At 48.5% G+C, this 27,511-nt stretch overlaps 1 long non-coding RNA gene across 1 annotated transcript, besides 5 other annotated features; it reads right to left on the reverse strand.

Annotated features, from left to right (window-relative positions):
- Positions 1,442-2,062: an enhancer, noted in NCBI's record as "H3K27ac-H3K4me1 hESC enhancer chr17:39695425-39696045 (GRCh37/hg19 assembly coordinates)". NCBI's record gives its function as "activates a minimal SCP1, AML or CMV promoter by ChIP-STARR-seq in naive H9 embryonic stem cells {active_cell/tissue: H9 hESC(naive)}" and the evidence as "EXISTENCE:reporter gene assay evidence [ECO:0000049][PMID:30033119]".
- Positions 10,191-10,551: a transcriptional cis regulatory region, noted in NCBI's record as "candidate enhancer chr17.2497 targeted for multiplex CRISPR interference". NCBI's record gives its function as "positively regulates KRT19 gene expression in K562 cells {active_cell/tissue: K562}" and the evidence as "EXISTENCE:mutant phenotype evidence [ECO:0000015][PMID:30612741]".
- Positions 11,429-12,042: an enhancer, noted in NCBI's record as "H3K27ac-H3K4me1 hESC enhancer chr17:39705412-39706025 (GRCh37/hg19 assembly coordinates)". NCBI's record gives its function as "activates a minimal SCP1, AML or CMV promoter by ChIP-STARR-seq in naive H9 embryonic stem cells {active_cell/tissue: H9 hESC(naive)}" and the evidence as "EXISTENCE:reporter gene assay evidence [ECO:0000049][PMID:30033119]".
- Positions 11,582-11,631: an enhancer, noted in NCBI's record as "active region_12163". NCBI's record gives its function as "activates an Ori minimal core promoter by ATAC-STARR-seq in GM12878 lymphoblastoid cells {active_cell/tissue: GM12878}" and the evidence as "EXISTENCE:reporter gene assay evidence [ECO:0000049][PMID:35858748]".
- Positions 11,875-16,764, reverse strand: LINC00974 (long intergenic non-protein coding RNA 974). The gene is made up of 3 exons (NR_038442.1): positions 16,549-16,764; positions 14,142-14,806; positions 11,875-13,134 (listed from the first exon to the last, which is right to left on the reverse strand). It is a non-coding gene; the product is annotated as a long intergenic non-protein coding RNA 974 (long non-coding RNA).
- Positions 14,584-15,084: an enhancer, noted in NCBI's record as "H3K4me1 hESC enhancer chr17:39708567-39709067 (GRCh37/hg19 assembly coordinates)". NCBI's record gives its function as "activates a minimal SCP1, AML or CMV promoter by ChIP-STARR-seq in primed H9 embryonic stem cells {active_cell/tissue: H9 hESC(primed)}" and the evidence as "EXISTENCE:reporter gene assay evidence [ECO:0000049][PMID:30033119]".

Below are 27,511 nucleotides of genomic sequence, written 5' to 3' on the forward strand. Positions count from 1 at the left end.
CCCTGTGGAATAGACCGTGGGGCCCAAAGAGCTGGAGATCTAATAAGAGGCTCTAATGGAGTTCAGGTGAGAGACACTGGGGGCTTGTTCTGGGGAGACATCAGAGGACTTCAGGAACAGTGGCCTGGTGCAAGGGATATCCCGAGGGCAGAGCCAGCAGGTCAGGCTGACGATTCATGGGGAGGACAAGGGAAGGAGAGAATCTTGCATGGCTCCTGGTTGAGGTGTGAGCCTCCTATTTGCACTGAGGTCAGGAAGCTGGTCTGGGACGGTGGTTTATCTAATCCACCTCCAGGAAAGGAATCACACCGGGGCCCTCCTAGATCTGTGTTGGAACGCGTCCTGGCAGAATTAGGTTCTACTAACCAAGCAATGACTGTACCCCGATCTCTGCCAGCGCTGATGCCTGCTGAGGGAGGGGAAGGACAAGGGCTGTGTCCACCTGGGCCCTGCCTTCACAGACGGAGCCCACAGTTAGGGGTTGGTATGAAAGAGGCGACTTTCTTTTTTTTTTTTTTTTTTTTCTTTTTTTTTTTTGAGACAGAGTCTTACTCCATCACCCAAGCTGGAATGCAGTGGCGCAATCTTGGCTCAGTGCAACTTCTGCCTCTTGGGTTCAAGTGATTCTCCTGCCTCAGCCTCCTGAATAGCTGGGATTACAGGTGCCTGCCATCACACCTGGCTAATTTTTATATTGTTAGTAGAGGCAGCGTTTCACCATGTTGGCCAGGCTGGTCTCAAACTCCTGACCTCAAGTGATCCACCCACCTCAGCCTTCCAAACTGCTGGGATTACTGGCGTGAGCCACTGCGCCCAGCCAAGAGACAGATGATTTCTAATGAAGATCTGTGTTTTCTACATTTTCAAAAAAGCAGCAGTGAGCATGTCTCACCTCTAGCATGGGTTGAGGGGAGTGCTTATTATTTTCAATTCTGACTCATTCCAGGCTCCACTGGCTTTAGGCTGGCAAGCGGGGCCTTGCAGACTTGGGGGAGGGGTGGTCAGGTTAGTGAGTTTCTGGACCAGGTGAGCAGGGGGTTGGGGCAGAAGGGGCATTCCTAACAGCAGCTGGAAGGAGCTTCAGAGCTGCTCTGGAGACAGGATGCTGAGGCCCTGCTCATCCCGGCTCCAACCGGCTGCAGGATAAACATTCATCAGGCAGAAACCACAGAGAATCACATAGCGAGATGGGCTGCCAGGAGCTGGGAATACCAGGAATGCCCAGGCCTGGGGACTAAGGGGGAGATGAGGGAGAACGGGGGAGATCCCCTTTGCCCCAAGGAAGAGCAGCTGACGCCTGATCCCATGAGAGGGGCCTGGTATCTGAAGCGCTTTTTGAAGTCAGTTGAAAAGGAACACTATCCCACCTCAAAGACACACACACAGAGTATTAACAGAAGACAAAGCCTCACCGGCTCCCTTAGGCATCTCACGTGCATTCCAGGCAGGAACTACCCAGTGCCAGCATCAGCCCTCAGCAGGCTGCCCAATTACCAGCCCAAGGCCTACCAGCCGTGCCAGCACCAGGGAGGCACGGGGGATGCACCAAGGAACCACAGTGCCAGGAAGCATCTTCTGCCCTCCCCTGGCTCAGTCCTGCCAAGACCCTTCCCCCTCCAGTGGAATGTGCTGGAGTTGGAGAGGAAAGTGCTTCCTCCAAAGTCCTTGCCTGGGATTAGGGCTGGAGCCTGTGGGGATGAGAAGATCCACCAGAGATATCTGTCCTCGCTGAGTAAACATACAATGAGGACCTGGTACACAGAAACCGAACAAACACATCCCAACAGGGATATCCATGTCTGGGGCTTCAGAAGAAAGGGCTGGAGCATGGGGAGAAGAGAGGAGGCTTCACGAACCCCAAGTTTCCCATTCCTGCCATGTCCATGTTACCTCATCCTTATCCTCACCTTGACTGCTAAGAAACATAGTAAGCATCTTCTTGGCCGTGCACAGTGGCTCACACCTGTAATCCCAGCACTTTGGGAGGCCAAGGCAGGTGGATCACCTGAGGTCGGGAGTTCAAGACCAGCCTGACCAACATGGCGAAACCCCATCTCTACTAAAACTACAAAAATTAGCTGGGCATGGTGGTGAGTGCCTGTAATCCCAGCTACTAGGGAGGCTGAGGCAGGAAGAATTGCTTGAGCCTGGGAAGCAGAGCTTGCAGTGAGCCGAGATAGAGCCACTGCACTCCAGCCTGGGCAACAGAGCAAGACTCTGTCTCAAAAAAAAAAAGAAAAAGAAAAAGAAACATAATAAGCATCTAAAAGCCCAGCAAGATGATTTAGACAAAACTCCTACACTTGTAGGATGGGGGCATAGAAATCTTCTAGCCCAGAGATCTTCAAGCCTCGCCTGCTAAGCCCTAAGCAGAGAGGTGGGAGCTGAGCGGATCTGCTGTGACCACCCACACTCACACACACTTACACACCTCACACAGTATTCACACCTACTCACACATGCACACACATGCATACACATGCTCACACATACACTCACACACTCCCAGGCCTTCTCACACATGCATTCACACTGGTTTTATATACTCAGCTTTCTGTGAGATTTTGCTTCAGCAAAGATTCTCCCTCTTTTAAAGCCCAAACACGTGCTTCAGCCTACCTCCAGCAGTTTATATAGGTCAGAAAACTGAGAGAGAGTGGGGCCTCAGCCTGCCTAAAGTCCCACAGCTGGTGTCCTGCTCAGCAGAAACCAGCAGGCAGGTGCCCTGGAGCCAGGATGTCTGTCCCCAGGGGACGACCTGAGCTCGGGGAAGAGAAAGAGGTAAACACTGTAGGCTCCTGACAAAGGCAGGAGGCAGGCCAGGGTCAGAGGAGGGACATAGACCCGGGGCTGCTGGAGCTCAGATGGAGGGCACCCTGAGTGAGGGATCAAGGCCTGGGTAAGCAGGGAGGGCGCCCTGGAGGAGGGGGCCCTTCACAGCCCCAGGGTGAGCCACAGTAAATGGTGCCTAGAGTAAGGACATGGAGGTGGCGGATAGTGGGAAGTTCCAGTAAAAAAGAAATCTTATAAAAACAGGCTAAATGTATTGGCCTCTTCCTCTATGCCTAACTCTGTTCGAGTATGTGGCATCCATGAACTTGTTTAAATCATCGAAGCTCCCCTATGCTGTGGACACTGTCATCACTCCCATTTTGCCAACTAGGAAACTGAGAGCTACTTGCTTAAGCTGAGTTTGGTAAGGCACCGGGCTGGGATTTGAACTCACAAGGTCTGGGCCTGCACCTTGCGGTCTAACCACTGTGTCAAAGGAAAACCAGGGAGCAGAGGCTGCAGAGCTGGTTCGAATCAGACAACAAAGGGCCTAGCAGGTCAAGCCACTAGATTTGATTTTTTATTTTTTTCCTGCAGAAGCCAACAGTGATTGTTTGAGCCAGGAGATGATACATGCAAAGTACCAGGTGAGTCAGACAGCAGGTTTCCTGAGGCTGGAAACACAGGGCTATCACCCAGCTGGGTCAACAGCCCTGTCCCAGCACCCCCTCACTCCTTCCCTCTGCTGCCCCACCATCATCGCCTTATCACCTCAAGACCAAAGGACCACAGCCGCCTCCCCCAGAGCTGACCTACCCCGGCAACTCACCCCAGCACCAGGCTCATCTGTCTCAAGCCAGCTTTGATCAAATCCCTGCTCACAAATTCTCACAGTCAGCCTGTTCTTTACAGCAGCAACTCGCCATGTGGTCCTTCCACCCCCAGGACAGAACCCATGGAGAGGCGAGCCAGGGTTACTGAATCGAGTCTTTGTGGATGAACCTGCACCTTTAATAAGTCTGAATTTTTAATAAGTTCTCCAGGTGATTCTGAGGCTCACTATAGTGTGAGAACCACTAGCCTAACGCATGAGATCCATGAGATATGGGAGAGGCACAAAGATGGAGGGCCCCCTGAGTGAGGGAGCGAGGCCCGGGTAAGCTGAAAGTGGGTAAGCTGAAAGCAAGATAAAGTGGCTGAAAGAAGCCTAGCCGTGGGCCGTTTACCTGCTAACAGAGGAAGTCCACGTTAGCATAACTAAAAAGTAACACACCTAGTTTTCTGCTTTCTGTCTGGGTGACCCTGGGCACAGGTGATCAAAGCCTCACTTGGCACAGCTGCCAAATTGCCAAGAACTGTAAAGGTCTAAAATTTTACTCTTTTTGCAAGTTAAAAAGTTGTCCTGCCATAGTTTTATGGATGCTGGCAGAAGACACGAGACCCTGGGTCAGAGACAACGACTTTATTACTCATGGCACAGCAAGAAACTTGAGCTTTATGTTGCAAAGAGCTGTGGGTTCAAATCCCAGCTCTGTGCCTTACTAAACTAAGCTTAAGCAAGTAGCCCTCCACCCCAAGTACCATGAGGACAACACAAAGCTTGACTCGAGTGGATGCTACACTACATATACAATGGGTTTTGTATCACAGCTGAGGAGTTCCACACTTGGGGGAACCAAATTTTTTATAATGGGCTGCAAGAAAACCTGTTTGATCTTTGCTCCAGAGAGAAATATTGTTATTATTATACAGAACAGTAAAAAAAAAAAAAAAAAAAGCTGCCTCTTTTCCAGAGGAAGATGTCATCTCTGTCTTCCAAGGAAGTTTACTAGCACATCCTTGAAAAGGCAGACCAGAACAAAAGCTGTCAGTGCCTCTGATTGCAAGATGTGCAGAAATACAAGAGATCCACAGACAATTGCCTCCCCAAACAAATGGGTGTATCAATATTCATCTCTCTTGAAGGTAACAAGTTTTAAATCAGATAATGTGAGAGAAAGTTCGTGGAAAAATGAGGACAATTACAATATAAGGAGATAAGAACATGGAGGCAAATAACTAGAGTGAAAGTGGAAAGTAATAAACTGGGAACCTCTTGCAACACAATTTATGGAGACAATAAAGCAGGAAGATATTCTCAACCCTTATCACCGACCCAAGGTTAATATCTTTAATATATATAAAGGGCTCCTACAAATAACTAAGTAAGAAACCAAGAACCCTGCAGGAAAAAGGGCAAAGAATATGAGCAAACAGTTCCCAGAAAAGGAGCTACAAGTTGCATTTAGACTTATGAAAACGTTCAACCTTACTTGAGAAGAGAAATGCAAATTTAGAGTACCATGAAATCCCATGATTTACATGTCAGATTGGTAAAGATAAAAAGGTTTGCTGGCCGGGCGCTGTGGCTCACGCCTGTAATCCCAGCACTTCAGGAGACCAAGGTGGGCGGATCAAGAGGTCAAGAGCTCGAGACCATCCTGGCTAACAGGGTGAAACCCTGTCTCTACTAAAAATACAAGAAATAAGCCAGGCGTGGTGGTGGGTGCCTGTAGTCCCAGCTACTTGGGAAGCTGAGGCAGGAGAATGGCGGGAACTCAGGAGGCGGAGCTTGCAGTAAGCCGAGATGGCACCACTGCACTCCAGCCTGGGTGACAGAGCAAGACTCTGTCTCAAAATAAAATAAAGTAAAAAGGTTTGCTAAATTACTATTTGTTGGGAATATGGGGAACTGGACACACCACACATTGCTGGTAGTATAAGGTCTATGAACAGTCATTTCCAATATGTATCAAAATCTTAAGCCAGGTATGGTGGCATGCACCTGTAGTCCCAGCTACTCAGGAGGCTGAGGTGGGAAGATTGCTTGAGTCCAGGAGTTCAAGGCTGCAGTTAGCTGAGATTGTGCCACTGCACTCCAGCCTGGGAAACAGAGCAAGACCCTGTCTCAAAAAAAAATTTTTTTTAATATAATTCTTTGACCTATCAATTTCTTTCACAGGTGTTTATCTTTCAGACGTACTTCTGCACATGTGCCAAATGACATGAAGTACTAGGAGGCTCACTGCAGTATTATTTATAATAGCAAAAGACCAGAAATGCCTAAATGTTCATTATATGATACATACAATAAATACATATGATAAGTATGCAATAGAATACTGTGCCACCATCAAAAAGAATGAGTCAGCTCTGTATAGTATTGATAGGAAAGATGTTCAAAGTATTTTATTAAATGAAAATGTAAGATGGTACAGTAATATAGACAGTTTGCTATTATTTTTATGTGTGTGCCAGGGAAGAAGATATGCACATCTATGTTGGTAAATGCATTGGGTTCTTTAGAAGGATACACAAGCAAGTGAGATAGCAGGGGATGCTTCTGGGAACGGAGCTGGGAGACTGAATTCAAAGAACGGAGAGACTAATGTTTTGCTGAATATCCTTTGTACTTTTAAAATTTTGTACTGAATTATATATCTATCACTTCTTCCCAAATATATATATATTTATACTGAATTTTGCATGTATTTCTTCTTCCAAAATGTATATATATATAATGCATGTACTACTTCTTCCCAAATATATTTATATATATATAATATATAATGCAGAATTATATATTATATATAATACATAATATATATAACATGTAATAATTATGTATTACACATTATATAATATATTACATGTAATAATTATGTATTACACATTATATAATATATATTACATATATTTGGAAAGAATACATGCATTATATATATATTTGGGAAGAAATAATACATGCATAATTCAGTACAAAATTATATATCTGTAAAAAAACAAAACCTAACTTGGGCATTCAGATCTGCCAAGAAGTTTGAGGTGGTGCTGGGACCCCAGGCCTGGGCCCTGCAGGAGCTCACAGCCTCAGCCTCTCTGGATCTACTGGCTGCCGATGGGCACTCTGAGCAGTTTCTTGCTTTTCCCAAAGCCATGCCCAGGAAACACCATTCATTCCCTCATTCACTCGTGTGCTGTGCGTGGGCTCTGAGCCAGGCCCTATGCCACATGCAGAATTCAGAGACGAAACAGACTCAGGCCCAGCCCCCAACAAGCTCCCAGCAGATGGGAGAGGGGAGAATGGGGGAGGGAAAGATCTACACAAATAGCTACAAAAGAGAGGCCCAGCAGTATAGCGTAGCAGGCAAGATTAATCAGTGACCATGTAGCAAGGCAGTGACAGGCCTGGCCTTTGAAAAGAGCCACGCCTTGGGGTGAGAGCCACTCATTAGCCAGGCCCAGGTATTCACCTCCCTAAGCTCCAGTTTCCTCCCCTATAAAACATGGACCATAATCACACCAGTGTGGCATGTGGTTTAGAGCCCAGGCCTTGGAGCCAGGGTGGCCTGGGTTTGATTCACAGAGCCACCATTTTATTTCAAAGCCATGTCATGCAACGGCCGTTACCTCACCTGTCAGAACCTCAGTGTCCCCGCCTCTGAAATGAGGCTAATAACACCAACCTCAGAGGGCTTGTGGGGGAATAAATGAAAAATCAGGTGTGAAGCACAGTATCTGGCACTCCATAAAATCAAGAGCTATTACCAGCAACATGAAGGTTAAATGGCATGTGTCAGTCATCACCGCAGGGGACAACCACTCAGCAGGTGTGGGCTGGGAGGAGCTTTCTGTTCTGTTTTTTGGGTTTTTTGTTTGTTGAGATGGGGTCTTGCTCTGTCACCCAGGGTAGAGTGCAGTGGCGCAATCCTAGCTCATTGCAGCCTCAAACTCCTGGGCTCAAGTGATCCTCCTGCCTCAGCCTCCTCAGTAGCTAGGGCTACAAACATGCACTACCATGCCTGGGCCAATTTTTTTTTTAAGAGACCTGTTCTTGCTATGTTGCCCAGGCTGGTCTTGAACTCCTGGGCTTAAGCAATCTGCCTGCCTCGGCCTCCCAAAGTGCTGAGGTTACAGGTATGAGCCACCATACCTGGCCAGGTATGGGTTTTTATAAAAGATTTTGTGAGAGGATAGGCACAGTGGCTCACACCTATAATCTCAGCACTTTGGGAGGTCGAGGCAGGTAGACTGCTTGAGTCCAAGAGTTCAAGATCAGCCTAGGTAACATCTCTACAAAAAATGATCAGGGCATGGTGGTATGTGCCTGTAGTTCCAGCTACTCGGGAGGCTGAGGTGGAAGGATTACCTGAGCCCAGGAGGTTGAGGCTGCAGTGAGCCATGATCACACCACTGCACTCCAGCCTGGGTGACAGAGTGAGACCTTGTCTCAAAAAAAAAAAAAAAGATTTTTGTGGGAGTCGCTCACTGCTCCCTGTGCGGTGGGGTGGAGGGAAGGGGAAAGTGTTCTTCCAAAAAGCTGAGATTTGAAGAATGAGGAGTGGGAAGAAAAGGGCTCGGGTGGTGGGTGTTTCTGGCACAGGGAAAGCTGTGGGAAATGGCCTGGCCAGGTGAGACAATGCGGGGAGTTCAGGGAGGGAGCAGTTCAGTGTGTTGGAGGCGTAACACTGGGAGAGTTGGAGGCCTGGAGGCTGGGGAAGGCAGGGGAGGGGACAAGTGCTGCCTGCGGGCCTGTTGGCAGTGGGGGTGTGGGTGGATAAGAGACGGGCCAATGGAGGGCCTCACGGAGGGGACAACTGCGAGGGTCCGACTCACCATGCAGGTCCTGAATAAAGCCGTGCTGGGCCTGGAGAAGTGTGGGTCGGGGAGGGATGGACACTGAACAGCAAGGCTCACCTCACATCCAGGAGGCCCCCCGCCAGCCCCGCCATGCCACAGGCACTGACGGTTGCCACTAAGCCTCAGAGGCCAACTGCATTTATTTGGAAATGGAGCAAGGCACTGGCCATGTCCAGGCTGGCTTTCCAGCCCTGTCCCCCAAAATCACAGTCTTCCTGCAATTACTCACAGGTGCTGGCCAATAGTGCTTAGGTTCTCAAATGCCTGCTTCTACTCAGGCTATCCTATCCACCTGCAGGGTCCTTCCCCTCAGCCGTCACAGGTTGAAACTGTGCCTCTTCACCATTGCCTGGAGTAGACAGAATAATGGCCCTCCAAAGATACGCCAATCGGAACCTGTGAGCATGTACCTTCCATGGCAGAAAGAGACTTTGCAGATGTGATTACATTAAGGATCTTGGAATGGGGGTTGGGTTATCCTGGATTATCCGATTGAGTCCAAAGTAATCACAAGGGTCCTTGTAAGAGAGAGGCGAGATGGTCAAGGTCACAGAGAGGAGCTGGGACCATGGAAGCAGAGGTCAAAGTGAGGCACTTTGAAGGAGGAAGATCCCACAAGCCAAGGAAGGCAGGCAGCCCCTGGAGGCTGGAAGAGGCCAGGAGACAGACTCTCCCGTAGAGCCCCTAGAAAAAAAGCATTTCTGATGACACCTTGATTTTAGCCCATAAGGCCCATTTCAGATTTCTGACTTCCAGGCCTAGAAGATAGTAAGTTTGTGTTGTTTTAAGCCACTGAGTTTGCCACCACTTGTTACAGCAGCAACGTGGAACTCATACATCACCTCTTCCTTCAGGCCTTTGTGATCCCTGGCACTCGCTCTTCCTCCTCTGAGCCCCTCTGGTGCTTTACCTGACCCTCTCCCAGGCACTGTCCTCTTCCTATATGGGTGAGAATTCATTGGCTCTTATCCCCTCTACCAGCCAGTGAGCTCCTTGAGGCTGGGGTCTGGCTCATATTTGTGCCCCCTTGCCCAACCACTGGTTGGGCTGATAATTCTCCCTGGATCCTTAGATCTACTCTCCACCTTCCTCTGTCCTGCTCTGTACCTGGAAGGATGATCCCTGTGTCACTGGCTCCCTTCCCTCCAACTGCCCCATTGGAATCAGCCATCCATCAGTAGGCAGCAGCGGAAGATGGAGAACAGGAAGAAAGGGGCCTGTGTATCTATCCCCCCACCTCTCCTTGCCCAGCCACGGTTCTGGCTGCAGCTGCTCGCTCTAAGGCTCCTGCAGGGCAGCCCTCCCCTGGCCACACCCCCTCAAACTCCCTTTTCCCATCCCTCCGCTTCCCACTGCTCTGCTCTGGGCTGTCTGATCCCTGCTGCTCCTGTCCACACCTCCAGAAATAGTTCCCTTTCTACACTCGGTCAACCCTGAGAGTCCGTCATATTCTGTGGGGCCCCTGGTGGATGCAGATGTGGCTGATCATCTACGTGGACAGCCAGGTGCAACACGCCTGGTAGATGTGTGAACACTGCTTCGGTCTGTCTGTCTTAGATGATGGCTGGCTGGGAGGGGCACTCCCCATCCCCAGCACACAGGCAGGAAGAAGGGCGTTGGCACTGACCAGGAGAGGCTGTGAGCAGGACAAAAAAGCAGCCAGACCCTCACCCCGTCTCTCCCCACACAGACCCACATGCTGACAGGTCCCAGGACACATTTCTCCTGCCCACCCTCACCCCTAGGGAGCTCCGGGCAGCGCAGAGGCTGGGCAAGTGGGACTGGCAGGGTGCCATGCCTTGGTCCCAGAGGGCTGCCTCCCTTCCTGGTAGGTCTGTGCCTGGTGCTGCCAGGCCTGGCCCGGCCTCCACACTCCTTCCCCTTCACACCACAATCTGAGCTGGCGAGTGACTCATCCCACCATCCTCCTACGTGCCCCGTCCCTGACTCCACCAAACTTGGCCTCTCTTGGCTCCATCTCTGCACTGGCTCACAGCAGCAAAAGCATGTCCACCCCCACGCCCTGCACCGCAGACTAAGGCAGCTCACTGCACCTCAACGAGGAAGAGCCAGGCTCTGACATTCCCAGCTTGGATCTCCAAGGAGGTGGCTGTACTGACACGTGGACAGAGCCCCATGGCCCCCACACTGACACACTGGATCAGGCAACTCTGCTGTCTCTTGACATCCATGATGTCCACTCCTTACAACAACCTTCCAAGGGTTACTGCCCATTTTACAGATGAGGAAACTGAGGCTCGGGGAGGTTACATGACATGGCAGGTGGTAGTGGAGCTGACTCCAAAGGCTCCTGCCTTCCTCTATAGCATCTCCCCCTCTACCCTGAGCCAAACTCCGGGAAGCCATGAGTTGTGTAGGAAAGGGCTTGGGCACTGACTTGGCGGTCCAAAGCCCTGAGGCCAGGCTCCGCCTTTCATCAGCTGGCTGACTTCGGGCAAGCCCTCGGCCTCTGTGAAACTGTTTTCCAGTCCATAACAGGAACAGGGATCCTGCCCTGCCCACCTCACCGGGCATTCAGAGGCTCAGAGAGAAGAAGCAGCGTCTGCAAAGTGAAGTCTGGGGAAGGTGGTTGTGGGGTGCCTCAGCAGCCCGCCACCGGAGCCCGGAGAGAGGCGGTGATGTCCGCTTTGGAGCCAACCTCGGCTCTGGACAGGGCAGGCTGCCGGCCACAAGGCCCCGTCTTTGCAAGCTCCCCAGGCGGGGTGCAGCTTCCTTTGTCCCTAGGCGGGGTGCAGCTTCCTTTGTCCTCAGACTGAACATCTCCCTCCGCCACCGGTGCGGGAGGAGCCCAGGACCTCGCCAACTCGGCTTCACAGCGCCTCCTGGGGGCCGCGAGGGGACTCGCCAACCTGCCTGCAGGCGGGCTCCCTCCTACCGCCTCCCTCTGCACCCCTGACCCTGCTCAGTGCTGTGTGAGAGGAACGGTCAGAGGGAGCCTGTCTGGGCAAAGGCAGGCCCCACACTCCAGGCTGCTCCCTGGCCTCCCTACAGCAACAAAGGGACGTTGAGCTGAGAGCAATACAAGAGAAAGAGCCCTAGGAGGGCTGGAAGTCCAAATGCCTGCATTCTACCTTTGTGGCCCTGGGCATGTGTCTTCCCCTCTCTGGGCCACAAAAGAGTGGAGGAGGCCACCTCTCTAAGGAAAGAGAGCTCCCCGCCCAGCGCTAAAACTGTGGTTTCTCTGACGCTCAATTTCCTGGCGTGTAACATGGCCACAAGGGGCCGCTGCAGCCACAGCTGTGAAGGAAACAGTTCACACCGTGCTATATCGTTCATGGATAGTTCATGGGGTTTTATAGGCTCTTGTTCATTTCCATAAAGTCTTCCTTGGACTTGGCAAACTTTTCCTCTGAAAATTCCAAAGTGTAACCAAGAAGGGAAAGGAAGAGAAGAGAACCAAGAGAAGGGAAAAGAGGATTTTATTTGGTTCGTGTTTGGACCTAAGAGAAAACCAGAAAGATTGCCCCTGCGGCTGAGGGGAGCCACAATATTGGCGAGAGATAGGAGAGGCCCCTCAGGGAGAAGAAAGCTTGGGGAATGCAGATCTCTCTTTAAGATTGATGACTTTCAGTATCATAAATCGGTAGAGCCAGAGAGTCCTCAGCCCTCGCCCCATTCCTTTATCAGTCACGCTCGCGCAAGCACTGGCCTCTGCCTCTCCTTGCAGAAGTGACTTGTTTACATGTTAGTACAGCTAGTTCCTGCCTGACTGAACCACTGTCATCTGAGAATTGAGGGTCAAAGTTGGATCTTCCCAGCTCAGAGGAGAAGCCTTCTCTAAACAAAGGAGGGGCTCAGCTGGGTAGGTTGTTGCAAAGAGAACTCACTTCAGAGCCAAGGCAGCCAGGCCCTGTCACTTAAAAGCTATGTGACCTTGTGCAAGTCATTGAACCTGTCTAAGACTCAGGATACTGAGACAGCAAGACCTTCCTCAAATTGCCGAGGTGAGAATTAATGAAATAGTCTGTCTAACGTGCCTGGGACCTACCAGAAGCTCAGCCAGTGGAGTCATTAAATTTTGTCTTTATTATTAGCAATACAGTTCTCGTAGCACACATTGCAAAGGATCGTGTACCCAGCTCAGGGGCACAAGGTGTGTGATTGCGAGGACATCAGAGAAAACAAGGTGCGATGAACTGGCGGTAGGCATTTGTTGGGACAATGACAGGGCCCTGGCCTGATCAAGGGAAGGATCAGGGGGAGAAGGAGATACTGGGGGGCTGGGAGGTGGGGATGAAGGAGGGGCACTGTCCCCACAACTCCTCATGCTCGGCTTCTGCAGTCCCGAGTACAGACCCAAGTCTGTTTCTCCTTGTCCCATTCTGCCTAAGGGCTGGAGCTTCTCAGAAACTCTGACAGGACATGTGTCCATCTTCAGTGGGGACCCTCCCCCTCCTAGAAGTCCCCCGTCCAGCTGGGGAGGACAGGTCAGGGTGAGGGCAGCAGCCACCCAGCAGCCTCCATCAGAGATCATCAGCATTTCCCACCATGAATTCAGCAGCGCATCTCGTGGTCAAATCCATAGGTGATTTCTGGGTTCTGTAGCCTCCTCTTATAAACTTACAAAGCACTTTAAGCAAACAAAAGCTTTGGCCAGGTGCAGTGACCCACGCCTGTAGTCCCAGCACCTTGGGAGGCCAAGGCCAAAAGCTTTGAGAAGTCCTGCAAAAAAAAAAAAAAGGTTTGGTTTGTTTATCTCCATGTTTTCCACTGGATTTGATCACAAGAGTTTTGTTTGGGGTTATTTTATATTAATTAACACCCCTGGGAACATACACTGGAAAATCCAGGGGCCCAAAGAACTCAAGATAGGGTTCCAGTTAAGAACTATTATGTTCCAGACCAGCCTGGCCAACATGGTGAAACCCCATATCTACTAAAAATACAAAAAATTAGCCGTGTGTGGTGGCATGTGCCTGTAATCCCAGCTACTTAGGAGACTGAGGTGGGTGGATCACCTGAGGTCAGGAGTTCGAGATCAGCCTGGCCAACATAGTGAAACCTCGTCTCTACTAAAAATACAAAAAATTAGCCAGGTGTGGTGGCGGGTGCCTATAATCCCAGCTACTCAGGAGGCTGAGACGGGAGGATCACTTGAACCAGGAGGTCAAGGCTGCAGTGAGCTGAGATCGCACCACTGCACTCTAGCCTGGGTGACAAAGCGAGACTCCACCTAAAATTTAAAAAAAAAAAAAAAAACTAGTATGAAGGGAATGCTCTCAACGAGCATCCCCTGCCCCAACTTTTTGTACCTCAAACATGACTATTTGCTGTGGATTCTGAATTTGCTTTGTTTCCTTTGTATTTTGCAGTTTTCCATTAGGGCTGACAGAAGTTCCTTTGGGAAAACCCCAGCATGTGTTAGTCATGCCGAGGGGAATGGAGGGAAGGAACTCGCTTTGTTCTCATTTTGGCCTGAGAGGAGGGAGAACAGTAGGACCCCTGGGGCTTGGGGGCTGGCATGGCCTGAGATGGATGTGAGACCCAGGGGCAGAGAAAATGCTAAGAGCTTTTTGGACCATGGATTTTCCATGACTCAGAAAGTCAGTGGAGCCCGCCCTCCCTGGTGCCCTCGTTCCTTCATTGCCACTGCATTTGTTCCACACACTGAGGAGTCTGGTGAGGAAACTGAGGCCCAGAGACAAGAAATACCTGGGACAGAGACTCACTGTTCATGGGTAGCTGCTTGCTTTCCAAGAAGACATTTCCAGAGCTTTCCTGCTCGTGGGAGGTGTCTGTAATTGTTTTAGACAGCATGAGGTGAAGAGGGTGGGCTTGCGGGTCAGACCCACTCAGATCCTTTGTCAGCTGAGTTATGTCATTTCTCTGAGCCTCAGTTTCCCATCTGGGAAGCTGGGGGTAGTGAGAAATAAGGAAGATGACTTCTGTACATGCTTGCCACCGTCCCAGGACAGACGAGGCCCAGCTGCCATACAGAGGAGGTGACAGCATGGAGCGGGGTCAGGGGTGCAGAAGGAGGCGCTAGGAGGAAGGGACAAATGAGGATAGAGGCTGTTGTCCATAGAGCACACTCCTTGGAGGGAGGAGGGACCCAACTCAGACACAGCTCACTCAGGTCAGGGGCAGGAGCCTCTGAGGTGGGTGGGGGGGTGTGACGGGCTGGTGGGAGCTCGTAAGCAGGGACATGCCCCTGCCCTGGAGGTTACTCAGTGGGGCTGGGAGTTTCGCAGGTGGTGCTTCTCAGTCCAGCGCTGCTTCCGTGGGTTAGGATGAAGACCCATCTTCTTGCCTTGTCCTCCTCCACGAGGGGCTTATCCAGAACAAAAGCTGTTGGCAGTTCCTGGCCAACAGGTTCTCCTCCTCCACTGCAGGGCTAGAAAAAGGTGAAAACAAAAGGGACATGTGCTTCTCTGTGGCTCTCGGGGTACAGTTCAGTCTCCCCACCATGAGCAAGTCCTCCACGACTGACCGCCTACTCCCACCAGCACCTCGTCATCCCTCTTCAGCCCCTCCTCACCCTCTGCACAGTAGCCCCAGGAAGTTCAAGTTCCAGCTCCTCCAGTGGGCCACTTTCAGTCACACCTCCAGGCCTTCACTGATGCAGTTCCCCCTACCCAGAACTGCCCACCCCCAACACACACAAACACACACACACACACACACAAACACACATGCACACCACCTCCATTGAATATCACCTCCACCAAATATCACCTCCACCAAATATCAAATATCAAATCCAACATCTTCCTGGTGTGTTGACCCAACACTTTCTCCAAAGAATGTTCCCTGCCTCCCAAGACTGTGTTAGTTGTTTCTGCTGTGTGGCCCAGAGTCCCTGGGCTTCCCCCTAATGGAATGCAGCATACTGTATGGAGGTGGCTGTTACCTGTTGGTCTCTCCGACAAGACTCTATGGGGGCAGACTCTGCCTGGGTCACTGTAGTAGCCCCAGCTACTAGCCCCATGCCTGGCACAGAGTAGGCCCTCAGTGATTACCCATTGAATGAAGGGGTCAATGACAGGCAGAGTCTCCACTTGGGGCTCCCAATGAGCAGAGAACTTGGGGAAGCTAACCTTCCTCCCCACACACACCCCACCTTTGAATCTCAAGCTTGACTCTTATGGGTTTGGTGTTGATTCACTTCCCTGAGGTTTCCCTCCATCTTGACAAATGCTCCTTCTGACAACCCCAACATGACTGAGTCATGGTGAGGGCAAGAGATGAAAGGAATCATGTTTGAGAGTTTGGCCTGAGTTCGGGTGAGGATGGCATGTCTCTGAGGCTGAGGGTGCTGGTAGCAGCAAAGACAGACTGAGGGATTCCCGGGTGGGAAGAAAGCTCAGGAATATCAAAGCCATCGGAGGACACATGAGTGTCACACCCAGCATGTGGGTGCAGAGCCGTCCTTAGGGACTGTCTGTCCTTGCAGGGTTATTCACCCAGGACCCCTCTGCACCCACACTCTGCTTCTGATACTCATGTGTTCTCCGACAGCTTTGATCTTCCTGGGGAGAGATCAAGGTAACTCTTGGAGAAAATTGAGGCCACAGCGCAATCTTAAAAAGTGTTAAAAATTGTTAGAGGCCAGATAGGTCGTGCTAAGAGCAGGAGGTAGGGAGCCAGATCAACACTGGTGTGGGTGACTTGGGCAAGGAACTTTTCTTCTCTGAGCCTCAGTTTCCTCATCTGTAAATGGAAGCAACAAGAGCAACCTCACACAGTTGTGAGAAATCAACAAAATGACATATGGAAGCTTCCTGGCCCATGCCTATCCTAGGAAGCTTCCCTAGCCACCATGGCCAGCTCAGGAGACCCCATCTGAAAGTACAGCCCATCCCTCTCATCACCGATGGCACTCACTCAGCACTGGCCTGTCTGCCTGTCTGCCTCTGGCACCAGACTGTGAGCCCATGGGGGCAGAGACCTTGTCTGTTCTGCTCACAATTCCATCTATTCCCAATCCCTGCCACAGAATAGGCACCCAGTGAAGATCTGTTGAATGAATGAATGAATGAATGAATGAATGAATGACTTGAAGAGGGGATGAAAATAGACAGGAACTCCAATACGAGATTTTCAAAAACAGGCAGGTGAGGACCCACCAGGCCTTACCTCTCCTCACGATCTTTTAACTTCTTGTCGTACTATTTCTCCTGGGTTTTATTTTGTTGTTGTTGCATCATTTCTTGAACTTTCTTTCTGGTTTCACAAGAATTCCCTCAGACAATCCCAGTGGATCTCAGTCTAGTAAGAGGAACAGAGAAAGGAACTGATTTTATTCCTGTTTGGGCCTGAGATGGGGAGTGCTTCAGAGCCTGAAGCCAAGAGGCTGCAGCAGCAGCAGCAGCCTCCACAACCAAGCAGGACACTCCAAGGGGCGGGGACTCGAGATCAAAGCTCTAGAGATTTGGGTAGATATTTGCGGACTGTTAGAATGATATGAATAATAATAGAGACCCTCCTCTGTCATCCTCCTCCCTGCACCGTTTGCTCATTCACCCATTCCTTCCTTTGACAAGCACAGACCCAGGGCCTTCTAGGGGGAATCTGAGATCCCAGGAAAGAATCTACCTGTGCCAGGTCACTCGTCTTATTCTCAGCTCTTCATACAGTCATTGCTTCCCACGTAAGCCTTTTTTCTTTCCTTTTTTTTTCTTTTCTTTTTCTTTTTTTTTTTTTAATTTAGAGACAGTCTCATTCTGTTGCCCTGGCTGGAGTACAGTGGTATGATCATGGTTCACAGCAGCCTCAAACTTCTGGGCTCAAGTGATCCTCCCACCTCAGCCTCCCAAGTAACCCAGTAATTAGGACAACAGGTGCATGCCACCATGCCTGTCCAATATTTTTTTCTTTTTTTGGTAGATGCGGGGTCTTGCTCTGTTGCCCAGGCTGATCTCAAATTTCTGGCTTCAAGTGATCCTCCTACCTCAGCCTCTCAAAGTGCTGGGAATACAGACATGAGCCGCCACACCCAGCCCACATAAGGTATTTTTGACAAGCCTCTGCTTATGGGATTTGCTAGCCTCTGTATTCTTTTGGGGCTCAATAATTGCTCAAGGCCATAGAGAACAGGAAACAGAGCACCAGCTTTGGAGCCAGGCCAAACTGGAATTATATCTTTGCTTGATCATTTACAAGCTATGTGACCTTGGACAAGTTACTTAACCTCTCTAACTTAGAATTTCCTCATCTATAAAATGGGCTTCATAATCCCAGTGTCCTTGGATCAGACTTCCTAGATTCAGTTCCTGTCTCCACTGCTTAGGAGCTGTGTGACCTTTTCAGCAAGTCATTTAATCTCGCTAAAAATGTTTCCTCATGTGTAAAATGAAAACAAGGACAGCATCATGAGATTGCTGTGAAGATTAGATACAGGGTTTATTCCCTTATCTTATATAAAATGCTTAGCGAAGTGCCTGGAACATTATTAAGTGCGCAATCAGTGTTAGTCCTTGCTCCTTCCTTGTGGACAATTGTTCTTACACTTAGTCGCCCAGCTCCTTTGTAAAGGAATTCTCCCTCTAGTGTCTGTGCCTCCTGGCTATAGAAGCCAGAAATTAGCCTTCCAGCCTCCCTTGCAGCTGGAGCACAGACACATGATCAGTCACACACATCACAGAAGCCTGTAAGCTGGGAGCTAATGTCCTAAAAAAGGAGGCACCTGGTGGAATCCATGCTGGAAGGAATAACTGCAGACCTCCAGTTTCTAGAAGCAGCAGCGCCACAAGTTTGGTGATAGCGCCAAGTGGAATGGGCTACTGAATCTGCACCTGCAGATAGTGGCAAGGGTGGGCTTGCTCCGGGCTGTGCTGCCTTCAAACCTGTTCCCTGCGAGTTCTTCCTGGAGAGTCTATGGCTTACCTAACATCCTTTAACAAACTGGCTTCAGAGTGTGGCTTCTGATCTTTGCAGGCAAAAACCCTGATGGCTACAGAATTTAGTAACAAGTGTGATTACTGGCATGAGACTTCTAAAAGATCTCCGTTTGGGTGTCCAAAAGACAATGTAAATTTAGCATGTCTGAAACTGACTCCCCATCTTTCATACCAGCCAACTTCCATCCCACAACTCCTATCATCCAGTTGCTCAGACAAAAGACTCAGAGACCTCCTTGACTTCTTTCTTTTACAATATGCAGTCCTTCAAGAACTCCTGGCAGTGCTTTCTTCAGATGATGCTCAGAATCCAGCCACCTCTGACCGTCTTCACTCTGAGTGCCAGGGGCTCTTCACCTCCCTGCACACTGGGCTCTCTGTTTCTGCTCCTAGCCTCGCAGCCTCTCATCAAGTGGCCTGTCACTCCTCTGCTCAAGGCACTGTGTGTTAGGATGATCATCAGCACTAGCTGCTGTGCCTGGAGTGGTCCCCACACACGCTTGACTGCCTCCCTCACTCCGTCAAGTTGATACAGAAGGGCTGGGCTCCTGGCTAAACCCTACCCTTAAGCCTGGAACCTCGGCCCTAAAGGACCCCATTTTCCCCAAAAATGTTACCTTTTTGGCCTGCCTGCCCACATGCTGTGCCCATAAAAGACTTCAGCTGGCAGAGCAACACAAGCGGCTGAGCACTGAGGATATAAGCAGCTGAGCGGCGAGCAGAAAAGCAACTGAGCATCGGAGACTGTGGATAGATCTGGCTAACTTCAGATGGTGCAGCTTTGGAGAGGGGCCCTGCCGGAGACGGTGGGGCTTCAGGGAAAGATCACCATCCCATCACCTTTCCATCCTCCCTTTCCACTGAGAGCCACCCAACACCCAGTAAAGTATTTTGCATTCGTCACCTTTCAAACAGTTTATGTGACCTGATTCTTCTTCCTGGACGCCAGACAAGAACCTGGGTGCCAAGAAGGCAGGGGCTGCCACCCTGAACCTCCATTGAACTGGTTGGTATTTGGCCATCCCCTGACAGCACAGCTGAAAGAATAGGGACGCTGCTGCAGGGCCCGAACAGAGCCTGCTCCTGCCAGAGAGGAGCAACCGGCTGGTTCCAGCGTTCATTTGCTCCGGTTCCCACACTTGCTCACACACTCACTCCCACAAGGAGTGGCCAGCAACAGGCTGAGTGAAACAAAGTGCTCCTTAGCTGGGCGTGATGGTGTGTGCCTGTAATCCCAACATAAGAAACCCCATCTCTACTAAAAATACAAAATTAGACGGGCTTGGTGGCCCGTGCCTGTAATCCCAGCGACTCGGGAGGCTGAGGCAGGAGAATCACTTGAACCCGGGAGACGGAGGTTGCAGTGACCTGAAATCTCACCACTGCACTCCAGCCTGGGCAACAGGGCGAGACTCAGTCTCAAAAAAAAACAAAACAAAAACAAAAAACAAAGTGCTCCAGTTCCCGCCCATGAAGGGCGTCAGGGCAACTATTCCATCGCAAAGTCATTGCTTATGTTTTACCTTCTCAGTGAACCCAACCTTGGCCATCCTATTTAACATTGCTCTCCTCCCCACCCTGCCATAGCACTCCAATCTCCCTTGATATTCCCTACTTCTTTGCGCACTTACCACCTTCAAGTATAGTATTATTTATTTCTTTATTACATTTGTTGCTCTTGCCCAACCCTTACCTATAATGCAAGCTCTATAGAGGCAGAAATCTTTGTCTCTTTTGTTCATTGATATATCCCAAGCACCTAGGACAGTGCCTGGCATAAAAGGAGCTTGATACATATTTATCCAGTGAAGTTTGTTGAATGAATGACATGAGAATCACTTTGGTTATCTGGCCTAGATGGGCCAGTGAAAATCTGGCTATGATTAAAATGAGCTTCTAGAAGCCCACAGCATGTGAATTAAATTGGAGTGGGCTTGTTTCTTTTAACTGTACTGAAGAGCTTAGAGAAGGAGTAATACACTTGAAGTTCTAAGTTCCTGATTCTGTAGACAGTCAGAGGACCAGGGACTGTCCACAATTATTCTTTAAAAATATCTCATTTCTTGTAGCTACAATGCTGAAGTAGTTAATAAACTCAAAATTGACTTCTCCAAGTTGAAATCACAACCTTGCCAAGTCTCTTATATAAAAGTTAGAGCACTGATCAGGAAAGAGGGACACCCACAGAATTGGAACAGGAAGGTATTAGAGAATTTAATAGACTCCAAACTCCAAATTATCTTCACACTCTACCCTACCACCCTTCATTGCTTTCAGAATTATAAATAAGCCAGATGCCAGCATACCTGGGGGAAGAGGCCAATTACAAAGACAAAGCTTAGAGAAAAAGATTTACACACCAGGAGAATTTCAAGCTGCTGCTAACCTGTATGAGCAGAAATGTGAAGACTGGGATTGGGAATGAATTTTTGAACCAGCTCAGTTAATGTGCAAGCATTCACCAGAGACTGGAAGTTCAGCTACTAGCTTAAATATCTGGAAGTGGATCAGAATGGTTGCTCAGTTGGATGACAGAAACTGAACTCAATAAAGGCTTATTTGAAATAAAGTTATTTCTAGAAAATCCTTTTTGTAATAAAGAAAAAGGAATCTGACTGCCTAGGGAGACAGGAATGTTGGGGTAGAATTATTGCGTGGAATCCATTCACTCATTCACCAACTGTGAGAGCCCAGAAGACACTGTGCAGACTCTGGCTTTTAAGAAATACGTGGATCGGGGGAACACAGCATCTTTGAAAAACACAGTTAACAGTTGTTCTCTGAGGATGTGGATGAAATATGCTGCAGTTGAATTAGGCCTCCTGATTTGAATGGAGATGACATCTCAGGTACAACACGGCAAAGGTGAAGAGCTGGACTAGGATAAAATCTGTAGGAGTCTGTGATGGTGGGTCTCTAGGACAAAAATACATGAGCAGACCACCAGTCAGGGTTCAGTTTTTTGGTTTTTGGTTTTTGGTTTTTGGTTTTTTGTTTTTGTTTTTTTTTTTGAGATGGAGTCTCACTCTGTCGCCCAGACTGGAGTGCAGGGGTGCAATCTCAGCTCACTGCAACCTCCGCGTCCCAGGTTCAAGCGATTCTCCTGCCTCAGCCTCCCGAGTAGCTGGGATTACAGGCACCCACCACCATGCCCAGCTAATTTTTGAATTTTTAGTAGAGATGGGGTTTCACCATGTTGACCAGCCTGGTCTCAAACTCCTGACCTCAGGTAATCTGCCCGCCTTGGCCTCCTAAAGTGTGGGAATCATGGACATGAGCCACCGTGCCCGGCTAGGGTTCAGCTTTAAGTAACAGAAACCAATCTCACTTTCTTAACAGAAATAAATTTAATACAAGGCATTAGGTGCTTGCAAAATCATTAGAAGGCTGAAGAAACAGACTCTATATTGGGCTTCTGGGCATGGCTTCCATATTAACACCACAGAAGTGGACCCCAAGGGAACTCTTGGTCTGCCACAATCAGAAAACTTGGGAATCAGGAAGCCACTACCAGACATGTTGGCCCCAGGACCATACAGTATACCTGGCAGACCTACACAAAGAAAAAGCATTTAACTTTTCCCCCTCTACTTCTCTCTCCACTCAACTCATGACTCACAGAGTGCATCTGATTGGAAAAACCTAAGCTATGGCTGTAGGGGAATCTGGAAAAGGGTAGATTTTAGATTACCAGCCTCTTGAGTATAGGAAAGCTCATCAGAAGGATGTTGAAACAGATAGGAGTGAGTCAGTCTTCCATATCTGCCACATTCACTACCCCGCCCCCACAAAAGAAAACTTTAGGTCAGTAAGAGACCTGTCTTGAGCCCCATGATTCCAATTCCAAAATCGGAATTGGCTCATAGACCCAGAGAACTCTGAATGAAGGGGAGGCTTTGAGGAAGGGCCCTGCAGTAACATCACAAGCATGCACTATACGTCCACTGAGAGCCACCCTATGCTCAATAAAATCTTCTGCATTCATCACCTTTCAAACAGTTCATGTGACCTGATTCTTCCTGGACACCAGACAAGAACCTGGGTGTCCAGAAGGCAGGGGTTGCCACCCTGACCTTCCCATAGGAATCTGTGGGTATTTACAAGAATAGCTGACTCCTGAGGGAAGGAAAATACCCAGGCCTTTAGGGATGATTGGACGCTGGCTCCAAACCAATTCTAATCTCTGAAAATGCAGAGCAATACTGTGGTTCCCCAGTTAGAATGGAAGCTCATGTGAGTGTAGGTTGTATCTGTCATCTTGTCACTATTCTTTTCCAGGGAGATCTAAAAACTACATTTACCAGCCTCCCTTGCCACTAAGATGAGCTGAGCAATTTAGGTTCTACTAGTCAGACGCACCCATGTGGACTTGGTTTAGAAGGGAAGTAGGTGAGGAAATGAGGTTCACCTGGGACATCCAGCTTACTGGTATGGACAGCAGAAGCAGCGTGGCTCTGCAACTCCAGCTGAGTCCAGAATTAGTGCAGAATGGACTCAGAAGGCTCCAATCTGACTTGGTGGTTTCATGGTCTTGGCAGAGGCAACAACTCCTTTGGCAGATCCACTCTGCTTTGTCATTTGGAGGGTTCTGGAAAAATCACCCTAGATTCTGTTTCTCCAGCCCTCCTAATGATTCTCTAAGGTATCTAGAGCTCTTGAAAATCCCTTACTTGTTAAAATAGGCAAAGTAGTTTCTGGTAGTTGCAATTGAGAATCTAACCAATATAGAGATCAGATGACAAATGGAGTTTTAGCCCAAGTTTGCTTCTCATGAGCCCAGTGGTATCCCAGACCAATCCTGTGGTTATTTCCCAGTGTCTGGAGTGGACTAGACATAGTCAGTAAAAGGATCCTGATCCTTACCAGTAAGGATTACGTGGTTTAGAAAAAGGACCAGCAACACTACATCTCTAAGGGAATGACAGAGATTAGTGCCACATGAAAGATTTGATGGGCCAGGAGTGGTGGCTCATGCCTGTAATCCCTGCACTTTGGAAGGGCAAGATGGGGAGAGAACACAGGAATGTAAGATCAGCCCTGGCAATAGAGTGAGATCCCTGTCTCTAGTTTAAAAAAAAAAAAAAAAAAAAAAAAAACCTCAAAAATTAGTCTGGCGTGGTGGCACACGCTTGTAGTCCCAGCTACTTGGGAGCCTGAGGTAGGAGGATTGCTTGAACCTGGGAGGTCAAGGCTTCAGTGAACTGTGATTGTACCACTGCCCACCGGCCTGGGCAACAGAGAGAGACCCTGTCTCAAAAAAAAAATGATAAATTTAGGGTTAACTTGCCTAGTTTTTCTGTGCAGAACATGAACAGATGTTAGAGAATAGCCATGAATTATTTTACAATTTATCACATGGTTGTTCCAACAGCAGTCGTTGATCCAGATTGTGTCCCTTTTCTAAAGCAGATCACCATTGACCCTGGCACCTGCTGTGGGAAATTCTTTTTTCTTTATCCCAATAAACAAAGAGTACCAGAATAAATATGCTTTCACCTGCAGAGAAAGCAACACGGTCATTCCCCTTATCCATGGTTTCGCTTTCCACAGCTTCAGTTACCTGTGGTCAACTGTCATCCAAAAATATTAAATGGAAAATTCCAGAAATAAACAATTTGTCAGTTTTGAAGTGTGCTGCCCTGAAGAGCATGATGAAATCTCACACTGCCCCACTCTGTCCAGCCCAGGACAGGAATCATCCCTTTGTCCAGCTCTCCATGCTCTATGCACCACCCACCCACTAGTCGTCGCTTAGTAGCTGTCTCAGTTGTCAGATCAACTGTTGCAGTATTGCCGTGCTTGTGTTCCCTTATTTTACTTAATTACGACCCCAAAGTGCAAGAGCAGTGATGCTGATAATTCAGATTTGCCAAAGGGAAGCCACAAAGTGCTTTTTTTTTTTTCTTAAAAGGAGTTTTGCTCTTGTTTCCCAGGCTGGAGCACAATGGCGTGATCTCGGTTTACCTCAACCTCTGCCTCCCGGGTTCAAGCGATTCTCCTGCCTCAGCCTCCCAAGTACCTGAGATTACAGGCATGCGCCACCATGCCTGGCTAATTTTGTATTTTTGGAAGAGACAGTGTTTCTCCATACTGGTCAGGCTGGTCTCAAACTCCTGACCTCAGGTGATCCTCCAGCCTTGGCCTCCCAAAGTGCTGGGATCACAGGCATGAGCCACCGCGCCCAGCCAGCAAAATGCTTTCTTTAAGAGAAAAGATGACAGTTCAAAACTTACTACGGAAAGAAAAAAACCATACGCTGAGGTTGCTAAGATCTACAGTATGATAAGATATTTTGAAAGAGAGAGACCACATTCAAATAATTTTTATTACAGTATATTGTTATAACGATTCTATTTTATTAGTTATTGTTGTTAATCTCTTGGTCTGCCTAATTTATAAAGTAAACTGTATCTTAAGTATGAATGTGTAGGAAAAAGCATAGTGTAGATAGATTTAGGTGCTATCCACAGTTTTGGGCATCCAGTCAGGATCTTTGAATGTATTCCCTGTGAAATAATGAGCAACTACTGGGCATCTTTTCCAGGATGTGCAGAGAATCAAACTTGGAGGGTATGCAAACAGAAAAATTCCCCAAATCACACTCAAGGATTGCTCTAGGAACACACCACTGCTGTCACTTCTGGCCACCAAAATTGAAGCTCAAACTATGGATGATGGGCACTGCATGTCTTTGCCAGAGCCGCTGCTATTGCTTCCTCAAAAAATCACATATCTCTGCCCAACCTTGTTCCTGCCATAAAAAATTCCACTCAGCACCTCCTTTAAATCAAAATCAAAGTCCTTCACTCCAATGGGGTGCCATGGTTAAAAAAAAAAAAAAAACGTCTTGTGCGGGCGCACCTGAGTGGCAGGGCTGTCAGGGGCCCATGCCCTAGATGCAGGTGAGCTCGGAAAAGCAAGTTTCTGACCTCTCCCTTGGGGAGCTTCACACTTAAGGTGGAGAATTTCCCAAATTGAGGTAGAGAAAAGATACATAAAATGGGCCAGGCCTTGTGGCTCACACCTGTAATCCCAGCACTTTGGGAGGCCGAGGCAAGTGGATCACCTGAGATCAAGAGTTCAAGACCAGTCTGGCCAACATGGTGAAACCCCCGTCTTTACTAAAAATACAAAAATTAGCTCAGCGTGGTGGCAGGTGCCTGTAGTTCCAGCTACTCAGGAGACTGAGGCAGAAAATCGCTTGAACCCGGGAGGTAGAGGTTGGATTGAGCTGAGATCGTGCCACTGCATTTCAGCCTGGACGACAGAGTGAGACTCCGTCTCAAAAAATAATAATAATAATAAATAAAATAAATAAAAAGATATGTAAAATGGTAGATGAGGAAGACAGCAGGTAGCAGAAAAAGAACCAGAGAAGAGTAAACAGTTGCATATTAACAGCGGAGCGCTAGAAAAGAGATCACAGACTCTCACTGCTCAGGTGTCTTGCTAGAGCCACCTTTGACCCAGAGACACTGATGACCTGCCTGCTCCCATATCCACAAATTCCAGGATCTTGAATCCCCCTGGGTTTCTGTGTCACTTCATTCCCTAAGTGTACTCTTACATAACCCCTCTGCCAGTGATTTGAGCCAGCCTGTGGCAATTTGTGTTTTCCAAAAATGACCACATCAATATATCCCATTGCATATGCTGTTCTTCAACGTGACATGGACACACCTCCATCTAGAGACGGGGTCTGTATTTGCTTTCTATTTCTGCTTAACAAATTACTGCAAACTCAGCAGCTTAAAATAGCACCCATGTATTAGCTGACAGTTCCACAGGCGTAATTGGATTCTCTCTGCAGGATATCACAAGGGTGAAATCAAGATGTCAGCCAGGCTAAGCTCTCATCTGAATTCTCATCTGGGGGTAATCTGCTTCCAAATTCTTCTTTGATCTTGGAAAACTTCAGGTCTTTGCAGCTGGAGGACTGCAATCTCCTTTTTCTTGCTGGCTCTCAGCTCCTAGAGCCCATCCACATTCCTTGTTCCATGACCCCCTTTCATCTTCAACCAGCAAGGGCACATTGAAATCTTCCCAGACTTCAAATCTCTGACTTCTGTGACCAGCCAGGCAAAACTCTTGGATTTTAAAGGGTTCATGTGATGAAATCAGGTCTGCCAGATAATCTCCCTCTCTTAAAGTCAACACATTTCAGAACTTAATTACCAAAATCCCTTCACAGTAGCACCTAGGTTAGTGTTTGATTGAATAACCGGAAGAAGATATGTGTACAGCAGGGCCAGAAATCTTGGGAAAGTATCTCAGAATTCTGCCTACCACAGGTCTATTCCCTTTCCCTTGAATCTAGGCAGGCCTGTGACTACAGAAGAAGTGGCACTGTGTGACTTCCCCTTCCAGGTGATAAAGTCAAACAGCCTCTTTCTGGCGGTTTTTCACTTGGGACATGTGTCTTGGGAGCCCTGAGCCAGCATATAAGAAGTCGGGCTACCCTGAAGCTACCGTGCTGGAGGGATCACATTGAGACTCTCCATAGAGATAGAGAGAGATGTCCAAGGAGCCCCAGCGAGCCCAGGTATGTAAGTGACTAAGACTTCAAATGACTCCAGCCCCCAGCCTGTAAGCAGCAATGAAACCAAGAGGAGCAGAGACAAGCAGTCCCCACCAAGCCCTGTCAAAATTGCAGATTCATGAGCAAAATGAATTTTGTCATTTTAAGCCTCTATACTTTGGGGTAGCTTAATAAGCAGCTATAGTGTCTGGTACATAGGCTGAGGGGGGCTATTTGTCCCTAGTAATAAAAAGGATTTTTGACTATCAGAATCTTTAGAGAATATTGTTGGCTGATGTCTTGTGGAATGTCCCTTACTTTGCCTTGAAGGACTTTATATTTTTTATATTTTTTACTTGAAATCTTGCAAGCAAAGACCACATCATTTTTGTCTTGTTTTCCTCCATAGCTAACACACAACGTGACAATAGACTATGGTAGATTGTTTGCAAAAAATTGCTTCAGTTATTGCCCTCCCTATATCCATGCCCATTGCCATGTGACTTTGCAGTTCCTCCCCTCAAGAGAAGTCTATTTCCCCTGCTCTTGAATCTGGGCTAGGTTGCGACTTGCTTGGCCAATATAATACAGCCAAAGTGACTTCTCTGAACCTAAACCTCAAGATGCCTTGCATGTTTCTGCTCATGACCTTGGAACACATGCACAAGCTAGTTGGCTGGAG

Source organism: Homo sapiens, chromosome 17, assembly GCF_000001405.40.
Source record: "Homo sapiens chromosome 17, GRCh38.p14 Primary Assembly".
NCBI lineage: Eukaryota > Metazoa > Chordata > Mammalia > Primates > Hominidae > Homo > Homo sapiens.